General features: G+C 43.3%; 1 annotated feature.

The window, feature by feature from the left end:
* Positions 9173-10372: an enhancer, noted in NCBI's record as "MED14-independent group 3 enhancer chr10:79418700-79419899 (GRCh37/hg19 assembly coordinates)". NCBI's record gives its function as "activates an origin of replication core promoter dependent on BRD2, BRD4, P300/CBP and CDK7 cofactors, and independent of MED14, by STARR-seq in HCT116 cells {active_cell/tissue: HCT116}" and the evidence as "EXISTENCE:reporter gene assay evidence [ECO:0000049][PMID:35650434]".

Raw genomic sequence — 11216 nt, forward strand, 5'->3', positions numbered from 1 at the left:
TGAGGTTAGAATCCTTATCTGGTGTGCTTTCTGTCCTCTCAAAGTCCACCCGGCCAGCAGATGAGCCTGTTGGGAGCCAGGCAGGTGGTAAAGTTTCCTCACCATCCTCCTTTCTGCTCCCAGCAGGCCTAGGAAATCCTTTCTTGCTGACCTTTCTTTCAAATGCTAATCTGGGCCTCTGAGGCTGGGGTGGGGGGGTGGGAGGGGGGGCCTTTCCCCCATTGGGAGCCCCACTGCCAGGTGAGCCCATGGCTGTGAGTCAGCACAGAGAGCTTCAGAAGTCCCTCACTGATGGGGGGCATGCAGGGAGTGTGCCCCATGGCATCTGGGCCTTTGCAAAGCCTGTAGGGGCCGGGGTGCCCCATTAGCCCAGGAGATGCCCCTGCAGGAGGCTTTAAACTCAGCAGGTGCACCTCACAGCTCCTCGGTCTCAGACACAGCCTGAGGTCAAGACAGAAGCTGTGAAGAAGCTCTGTTGGGTGAGCCCTGGGGCTGCAGGCAAGCCAGGACCTTTGGAGGCCCTGGGAGGCTGGCAGGGGTGAGGGAGAATGGCAGGTGCAGGTGCCATACTGCACCTTTGGGAAGAGCAAAGGTGGTGGGGTGAGCGGGTCGAGTTATGAGAAAGTTCACAGAAACAAAAGAGGGGGTATGAGAGTAGAAGTGGGAGGACAGAGAAAGAGAAGGAAGAAAAGAAGTAAAAAATAAAAGGAAACAGAGAGAGAAGAAAAAGAAAGAGAAGGGAGGGAGGGAAGGAAGGAAGGAAGGAAGGAAGGAAGGAAGGAAGGAAGGAAGGAAGGAAGGAAGGAAGGAAGGAAGAAGAAATAAATAAATAGAGAGACCTAAGAAACAAGGCAGAGAAAGGGACATCACCTGTCCCAGCCAGTGGCCTCTTCTGAGTTGCTCCACTTCCCTAACAAAGCACAGAGACATTATGCCTGTAATATAAGGGGGTCCAAAGTGCCCACAGTAAGAAACAAGTATTCTCCCCTTAAAGGAAAGGCACAGGATCCTGGTGGCAAATTTCTGACAAGTGAGCTCCCCACCCCCAACACACACACACAGACAGACACACACACACACACAATGGACTGTCTCCTTTCTCAGAGGGATACATGCTTGAGATGCTGGGTGTACCTGCAAAGCACAGGCCTGGGAAGCCCCTCCAACACAGATGGTCTTGTCTTATAAGTGTCAGGGTTTGTGCCAGCTGAAAGGGAGCCCGGACTTCTGTATAGGAGGTGAGGACAAGGGCAGAATCTCCTTCATTGTGTATTCTTTTCTCATCACCCAGAAGAGGATTAATCATATTAGGACTCAGCAGAAACAAACGAGAAGAAGCTGCACATGGCCAGGCAGTGCCTCCCATCCCCAGGCAGTGCCTCCCATCCCCATTAGTGGCCTGCGGGAGGAACTTTCCATGGGAATCCCACCCAGCCCAGCCTCCTTGCAGGGCAAGGGCCCAGGACACTGGTCTCTCCAGCTGACTGCACAGGGCTTTAAAGCCAAGGATGAGGCAGGGGAGGAGAGGGTCTCAGTGTAACACATTCTACTCTACCCTCCAGGGCTCAGTTCCTCAATTCTACAAAGGAAAAAATATTAGGTGTTTATTAGGTAAATATTTATTAAGCACCTACCATGTGCTTTGTGCTATTGGCAATTTCTATAAACAGGGTTTTCCCATCCACAGCAGCTCTCCCTACCACATGAGAGGGTCCCTGGAGGAGCAACCACATGGATTAAATATTTCACACCATGAGTCAATGGAAGTGCTAGCTCAGCCCTCAAGTTGCTGCATGATCCCACTCTGGAGTTCCATGGAGCTGGGTTCCAATTTCAGCTCTCCTCCTCTCTCAGGCTGCAGGCTGTGGGTTAGGTTTCTTAGCCTCTTGAATTTCAGTTTCTCCATCTATATAGTAGAGAGAATAACAGTGCCTTCTCAGTGAGTTGGTGTGAGGATTGAATGGAAGAATCCTGGTAAAGCTCTTAGTTAGCACAGTGCCTGGCACATGGTGTCCTTTTGTTGGCCTTTGCTACAATTAATGAAGGCAGAAGTGTGATTATATAAACCTGTACCCACTTTCTTTGAGTCTCCATCCTCTGATGTATACCATGAGGTACTCCCTGCAACCCCTTTAGTTTGAAGCCATGCTATTCTTGTCTTTGCTCCCCTATCTCAACCCAGGAATGGTGATATTCTTGTTTACTCGCCTTTGTTTGGTGTTCAATGCTGTCTCTCCTTCCTGTGATGGAAGGATTGTTCTGTCCTTTTCCCCCTTCCAGAACCTGTTCTCATTTCCGTTCTCCCAAGGCCAGCTGCAGCCTCTTGTCTCAAGAATGTATATCTTAACAACAATGAAAATCCTCACAGACTCATAATCAAAACATCTTGGAGAGGATATCTTAGAGAAATGAGGTACCTTTCCAATAAGGGGAATGAGGATCTTTGGTGTCTTTTTGTGGGTCTTTCATATCATCAACAAATACAAGTGTTTGTTAAGCATCTATTACACACACGCAAATATATTAATTACCATGATTTAAAAAGGGAGAAGACACAAATCCTCAACTCAAGATGAAAAAGATTCCTAAAGATAAAGGCTCATTTAATATGAATTCACAATTCAAAATTTCAAAACCCGTGAATAAATAATCACATTATGAGCAAATGTCAATAAATAGAAAAAAAGCAAAATCAGATAAGACTGCCAAGAACTTGAAGTAAATGAATAATATGATAGAGACCACAAAACTAGTAAGTGTAAAATTATTAGACATAAAAGAAGGAATATGAAATGTAAAAAACACAACAGAAAATAAAACAGATTTGGAAAAGAACCAAATAGAACTTATGGAAATCCTTTTACGGCCACAGAAATTTTACAACTCAGCAAGTAGGATAAATAGCAGATTAGACTCACTTGGACTGTAACAATTAGGCCAATAAAAATAGATCTGAGAAACATAATCAGAATGTAGTATATACAAAGAAAATGATAGAAATAAGAACACAGGCATGGCTCTTATTTCTATCAGAGAACAGAATGAAAATAGGGCCAGGCACAGCAGCTCACACCTGTAATCCCAGCACTTTGGGAGGCCAAGCCAGGCAGATCACTTGAGGTCAGGAGTTTGAGACCAGCCTGGCCAACATGGTGAAACCCTGTCTCTACTAAAAATACAAAAATTAACCATGCATGGTGGTGGGTGCCTGTAATCCCAGCTACTTAGGAGGCTGAGGCAGGAGAATTCCTTGAACCTGGGAGGCAGAGGTTGCAGTGAGCTGAGATCATGCCCACCGCACTCCAGCCTAGGTGACAGAGCACACCTCTGTCTCAAAAAAAAAAAAAATGAATGAAAATAGAATGAGAAAATCTACCATACACCTAATGAGAGTTCCAGATGAAGATGATGGAGAATGGGGAGAAGCAATAATCAGAGATAATGGCTGGGAAGTAAAAAAACCAGAATTCATAGATTCATAATGCCACAAATTTTAAGTAAAATAAATAAAAACCCACTTTTTCATGCCTTATAGAGAAATCATAATTCACCAAAGCCAAAGAATAAAATTTTTAAAGTAACAAGAGAGAAAGGAGAGACTACCTACAGAGGAATGACAATTAGACAGCCAACTTCTCAACAGAAACAACTGAAACAAGAAACAATGGAACAAGATCTTCAAAGAACTAAGTGAAAATTACTGTCAACCTAGAATTGTAGGCTGAACACAAAGTGTTTTTAGACAAATAAAAACTAACAGAATCTGTCACCAACAGACTCTCCCTGAAAGAATTTCTAAAGGATAAACTTCAGGAGAAAAGAAACTGAACCCAGAAGAGTAATAAAGAAGCACTGAAGAGCAAAGATGATGATTACCATATAGATAATACTAAACAAGCATTGATTTCTAAAACAGAAAAAATATTAATGATAATTTTGATCATTACCAAAACAAGATGGAACTAAAATATTAGAAAACAATAACATGCTAGACAGGGACTGTTACATCAGAGTTAAAGCATATCAAGATTCCTAGATTGTTTGTAAGGCAATAGAGGTATGAATTAACTTGATACTGTTAAGTCAAGTAAACATTAAAAGTTTAGGGGTAACCACTGAAAGAATAAAAATGAAATATATAGCTTCCAAACCAGGGAGGGATGGAAAGGGAGATAAAGATAGAAAAGAAGAGTCAGCCAGGCATGGTGGCTTACACCTGTAATCCCAACACTTTGGGAGACTGAGGCAGGCAGATCATCTGAGGTCAGGAGTTTGAGACCAGCCTGACCAACATGGAGAAACTCATCTCTTATTTTTTTTTTCTAAAAATAAAAAATTAGCTGGGTGTGGTGGCGCATGCCTGTAATCCCAGCTACTCCGGAGGCAGAGGCAGGAGAATCACTTGGACCTGGGAGGCAGAGGTTGCGGTGAGCCAAGATCGCACCATTGCAATCCAGCCTGGGCAACAAGAGTGAAACTCTGTCTCAAAAAAAAAAAAAAAAAAAGAAAAGAAAAGAAAAGAAGAGTCAGGGAAAGCAGTATAAAGTAAAGTAAACAGAACTAATAAAAGAAAATGCTATACAATAAATAAATACAATATATTCAAACATCTGAAGCTGTAGTAATTGTAAATAGATTCAACTCACCAATCAAATGAAGAATTTAATTGCTTAGCAATGTGCTATTTCACAGAACCATATCTATACATTAAAGACTCTGAAAAGGACTGAGGAAAGATGTACCAAATTGTAACGAAAAGAAAGCAGTGTAACTGTTTTAATACCAGACAAAATAGACTTTAGGAGTAACTAGAAGTGACCTAAGTACAATGGCAGGTGGAGAAGGAGAGTTATTGAAAGCAGAGAGAACTGCATGAGCAAAGACATCAAGGGAGGACTATCCCTAACAAATTTCAATAGCTCAAGTTCAAATATAGGTTAAAATAGAGAAGCTTCTTCATTGTAACATTATGCTCTGTTATTTTTAATGTATATTTTTGAGCATGTAGGCACCAGACACCATGCTATAAATTATTTCTATAAATTATTTCTACTCCTCGAAAAATCTCACAATGCAGATGCTTTGTTATTCAGTACAATTTTGGTTATAGAAAACTGAAACCCAATTTGAATCAGTCTGAGTTAAAAGTAAGAATAGATGGATCTCTCACTAGAAAAACCCCACAGAAGGAAGGACACTGTTTGGGCCAACTTTGGATCCCATGCCCACTCTCCAGCTCATTACTGAGTTCAGGAGGACAGGCCAAGCTTGGGTCAAGTGCCTGCCCAGCCTGAAGTGTGGGGTGTTACAATAAAAAATAAAAAATAAATAAAAGAAAACACGATTGATGTACAGAAGGACTGCTTCTCTGAAAGTAGGGGTCTGACAAAAACAAACAATTCCACAAGAGTAGATTGTATTATCCTCATTTTATAAATGAAGTCTCAGACTCAGAGGCCAAGGGACTTGTCCAAAGCCCCAAGCACCTACATGGCAGAGCTGATGGGAAACCAGGTTTTTTCCTCTAAAAGGCTGAACTTTTTCTCCAAGCAATGAACATAGGACTTTGCACAGAGTTAAGTTCTCAAGATATATACTAATTCATTATTTTAAAGGACCTACAGAATATAAAGAAAATTGATCATTTTCTTTATAATCATTAAAAGATTTGGAATGAGGAACTTGTTTCTAGGGCCAACAACCCTACAGCATATGGGCCCTCCCAAGGACCCTCCACAGACACCAATGAACTTGGCATCATAGATCCTCATGCTTAGAACTCCTTTGCACTGATAATTTGTACTGTGCAGTTCAGCCCTAAAACCATCTTTAATTATTTCACAGCTTGTCCAGGTCTAGCACCTCCCTTTCTCCTCCACAACACCCAAAAGAGCCACTAGTAGATGTTTAAATGATTGGCTCCAACACTTTTTAACTCATGAACCCATCTGGAAAACTGATGAAACCTATGGGCTCCCACCCCGAGGAAAAGGGGGAATCAATGCCTATTTGCACATACACACACACTTTCAGCAACTTTGCAGGCCCCTGAAATGTATCCAGGAATCCCTGGGAGTTAAGAACTGCCTCAACAAGAAGGGAATAAAACTTAGTACCCCCAAGAGACAGCATTGGGAGGCTATTCAATCAACTCAAAAAGATTGGGGCCAATTCACATGTGACTATCTTAAATGGACAAGAAGTGCTAACCCATAAAAGCACATTTCATAGTTAGCTGTTGACTGCAATGGATCCCATTCAGCTCCAATTTTAAAATACCAGCTGAGTGCCACTATGTGCCAGGTACTCTGCTGGATACAAACTAGAGTAAGACCCTGTCCTGAATCCCTAGAAGCTCAAGACAGATGCATAAGCAACAATTTCACTTCAGTGTGGTGAATGCTAAGGTAGAGCTGTGCTAAAATCCTATGGGAACACTGGCAGGAGGTGGAAAGTAAGGGAAGGTTCCAGGAGAGAAAGTCTCAGCGGAAGGAGGATCAGGTGTTTTCTGGCAAAGAACTGAGGGAGGAGGGGAGCATTGCTGGTGGTAGAAACATGAGACCCACATGCATGTAGAGTGACATGTGTGGGAACATCAAGCATATTGGTATCACTAAGGCAGTGGTTGTCAATGAGGGTGATTTGCCACCCCACTCGCGACATCCCATTAAGGACATTTGACAATGTCTGAGTGTTATCCAACAGAACTGAGGTCCACTTGCCCAGCACAGTTAAGACCAAACATCCACATCTATGTTTTCAGCAAGAGAAATAATGGCATTTATTTGCAGGGCACCAAGCAAGGAGAATTGAGCAGCTCACACTTAAGACCCAGCCTCCCCAATGGCTGGCAGGTAAGGGTTTTCAAAGGCATGGGTAAATTTCATGAAAGCAGAAGTTACAGGCAAAATCCTAAATCAATACATAGAGGTTACACAGTGGGTTGGCTTGAAAAGGTGGGATATCTGGAAGCAGGGCCTTAGAGGTCACAGGTGGGTTTAAAGATTTTCTGATTTGCAATTGGTTAAGGAAGATAAGCTTTGTTTAAAAAAAGAAGTAGAGAATGTTGCCTATTTCATGGGCATAACTTCCTTCAGGCCCCTCAGGAAGAACTTTAGAACAAAGACCAGCAAAAGCGGTAAGAGTTCAGTCCTCAGTTCCCCCTTATCTGAGGTCTATGTGCCAGTAGATCCATCTGGTAGGGGTCTGGGTTTCTGAAGAACCACTCAGGGACATGTGTTAAAGTGTTACCTTTAGTTTCTATAGGGAACCAAACACCTCATGGCTCTAACGTCCTTGGCTATTGTTTAAGCTACCATTTCCTTTTAGGTTATGCACTTGCTCACTTTCTTCTCAGAGCCAGCTCGGTGCCTCGAATTTCCCTTGAAGGAACTTAAGATTTCCCTTTATTTCCATGTTTAGGGTACATTCAGCAACCTGAGAGGGGTCCCTGCTCCATCTCACGAGGATAGCTTTGGTTGTCTTATCTCGGGTGGGAGTGGAGTTGCTTATGGGTATCTAGTAGGTAGAAGCCAGGTCTGCTGCGAAATATCCTTCAATGCACAAAAAGCCCCTGACAACAAAGAATTTTCTGGTCCAAAATATCGATAGTGTTGAGAAAGCCCACATCAGAGGATCAAGTGTGGATAGGGAGTTGTTGCCTGAATTGAGAAACCAATATTCCTGTAGCTTTGGGGCTGCTGCCATCAGACCCTCTCTTCCCTAAAGCAATGATACCAGCTCTGCACCTCATCAGCAGGAGGAAAGAATGAGAGTGGTTTGTCTCTGTACAGTGAAAACATAGGTTAGTTATTGAAGCTAACTTGACTTCTGCACTCATGTATCAGTTGTGATTATAGAAGAAGGCTCGGCTGCACCCAGCCTGCTATGGTCTGGATATTTGTGTCCACCATCCCCGAAATTTATATGTTGAAACCTAATCCCTGTTGACAAAAAGAGTCAAACTCTGTAAAATATTTTAAGAGATTTATTCTGAGCCAAATATGAGTGACCTTGGCCCCTGACACAGCCCTCAAGAGGTCCTCAGAACATGTGCCCAAGGTGATGGGGGTACAGCTTGGTTTCATATATTTTAGGGAGGCATGAGACATCAATCAAATACATTTAAGAAATACATTGGTTCGGTTCAGAAAGGTGGGACAACTTAAAGTGGGGGCTTCCAGGCTACAGGTAAATTTAAATACTTTCTGGCAGATAATTGGCTGAGTTTGTCTGAAGACCTGAGATCAATGGAAAGGGATGTTCAGGTTAAGGTAAAGGGTTGTGCATACCAAGTTTTATTGTGCAGAGGAAGCTCTCCGATAGCAGACTTCAGAGACAGCAGGTTGTAAATTGTTTCTTATCAGACTTAAAAGGGTCCCTGGATCATAGTTGATTATCTCCTGGATCTGGGAAGGAAGGAAGGAAAACAGAGGGGCAAAGGTATTCTCTGTAGAATGTGGCTTTTTCCCACAAGAGACTTTGCAGGGCAATTTCAAGGTATGGCAAGGAAATATATTTTGGGGTAAAACATTTCAAATTTTCTTCCTTGTTATGCCAGAGTCAGATTGGAAAGTAAGTCATGATACACAGGGTTAAATAAACCCATCTGATGAGAATTTATGATTTGTAGGGCATGACTCCCCACACCCCTTAGGAATTTGGGCAAGATAAAAAAAATCAGAGCTTAGTCCTCATCCCCAGTGTGATAGTTTTAGGAAGTAGGGCCTTTGGGAGGTGAATGGGATTAGTGCCCTTATAAAAGAGTACTGAGAGAGACTCCTCACCCCTTCTACCACGTGAGGACACAGCAAGAAGGAACATCGATGAACCAGGAAGCAGGCCCTCACCAGACACTGAATCTGCTGGCACCTTGGCCTTGGGCTTTTCCAGCCTCCATATCTGTGAGAAAAAAAGCTCTGTGGTCTATAAGTCACCCAGTCTGGTATTTTTTTAAAGCACCCCAAGCAAACTAAGACATGGCTCCACCTGAAAGTAACCTGTGGATGACTTGTGTGAACCCCAAACATTTGAGACAGGTCTTAGCTAATTTAGAAAGTTTATTTTTGCCAAGGTTGAGTACGCGTGCCCCTGAGACAGCCTCAGGAAGTCCTGACAACAAGTGCCCAAGGTGGTTGGGGCACACCTTTGGTTTTATACATTTTAGGGAAACATGAGACATCAATCAATATATGTAAGAAGTACATTGATTCCACCCAGAAAGACGGGGACAACTTGAAGCAAGGAGGGGTCTTCCTGGTCACAGGTATGTGAGAGACAAATGGTTGCATTCTTTTGAGTTTCTCATAAGCCTTTCCAAAGGAGGCAATCAGAATATGCATCTATGTTAGAAATACCAAAATTGTTAGAAATAGATAATCGGTGCCATGAAGAAAAGTCAGCACGTAGACATAAGATCTCTCAGCAAGGCAATCTTTACTTTCTGCAGAAAGGGTGCTCAATCACAGATGGAACAATGGTGAGAATATACCTGAACAAAGGAAAAGCAGACATATTTATCCCTTACTCATTTGGGTCATCCTTACTGCTGTGTCCTGCATCCATTTGCTGGAGAAGGACCTCACTGATATCCGATTTGCTAATAACCTGAAACTTTCCTAAATAGGTAAGTGCAGGGAAGGACAAAGAAGGAGAGGAAGTTGCTTATGAAAGGTTTAAGGAAGCAATAACATTTCCAAATAAGGAAGGGGCATAAGCTATGAGCTAAGATTTGCCTGGGCCTGTCCAGACATGCCTGAGTAAGCCAAAGCAACTAACTGGGCTAAAGTGTAAGAACTAATAGTTGATAGGAGGGTTTAGAGTAAGGAACTATTATTCCTAGTGTCTATTATTTTATTTTTAAACAAGACAAGCTTTGAAGAGGAAGTTTTCTACTTTCTACAATCTCAGTGAGCGGAGGGATTACTTTGAACAGAATGGGAGGCAGATTTGCCCTGAGCAGTTCCCAGCTTGAATTTTCCCTTTAGCTTAGTGATTTCGGGAACCCAAGATATTTTCCTTTCACATTTGCATACCCATCTTCGGGAGTAGCAGGTAACCCAGGTTATTCACGGGATTTGGTTTGCCTGGTTAGCCCACAGTGGGACACAGGAAGGAGAATTCAGAGCTGTTACCAAGTGCTACCTGAGATCACACACAGTTACTAAGGTCTGGAGAATTCTCTCCCCAAAGCTCCAGATGTAACTGTGACTCTACAGTGACTTCCTGACTCTAGGGACATCAGAACAAGTTCCTTAAGAGAGCTTTCAGGAAATAGCCTGGGAACTCTGTAAGCAGGGTCAAGAATCCATACAGTCACAGGGGCAGCATCTTGCTGAGGGGTTTGCAGAGGGTTACCACAGGAAAGAGAAACCACCCATAGCAGAGGGGCAGCAGGAACAACCGCCACCAAGTGGGTCACTAGCCATGGGAGCCTCTGAGTCCTGCTGACAGCCAGTGGCTGGAACAGCAACCGAGACCTGCACAGGAGCCAGGGCTTCCAAAGCTTATGATGAAAACTCCCACTGACATGGTCAGAGAGAGGGTCTAGTTCCAGGAACTTATTTATCAGAGTGCTCTCTCCCCATCTTGGCATGTGTTACTGGATATTGTGATTTTTTTTTTTTTCGAGGCAGAGTCTTGCTGTGTTGCCCAGGCTGGAGTGTAGTGGTGCGATCTTGCTGCAACCTCTGCCTCCTGGGTTCAAGTTATTCTCATGCCTCAGCCTCCAAGTAGCTGGGACTACAGGCATGCGCCACCACCCCCACTAATTTTTTGTATTTTCAGCAGAGACAGGGTTTCACCATGTGGGGCAGGCTGGCAAAACTTGGTCTCAAGTGATCTGCCCACCTTGGCCTTTGAAAGTGCTGGGATTACAAGTGTGACCAACCACACTCAGTAGATATTGTGATTTTTAATAAGAAATATATATTTGGTCTTCATCCAAGCACAAGTGCTAGGAAACTAGGAGGTTTCCTAGCACACACCTCCTAAAACCCTTAGAGTAGCAGAAGTGATTTGTCCTTTTGTATACTAATGGGTTGACTGTTGGCTGGGGGCCCCTGGATAGCCTCAGAATGGGGACTGGTTGCCAGTGGAACCAACCTTGTGATTGGAGGATTGGGATATTCAACTCTTCCCCCTGACCTCCAGGGAGGGGGAGGGCTGAAGGCTGAGGTGATCATCAATGTCCAATGATATAATCAATTGTGCCTACA

This window comes from Homo sapiens, chromosome 10 (assembly GCF_000001405.40).
Source record: "Homo sapiens chromosome 10, GRCh38.p14 Primary Assembly".
NCBI classification, from domain to species: domain Eukaryota; kingdom Metazoa; phylum Chordata; class Mammalia; order Primates; family Hominidae; genus Homo; species Homo sapiens.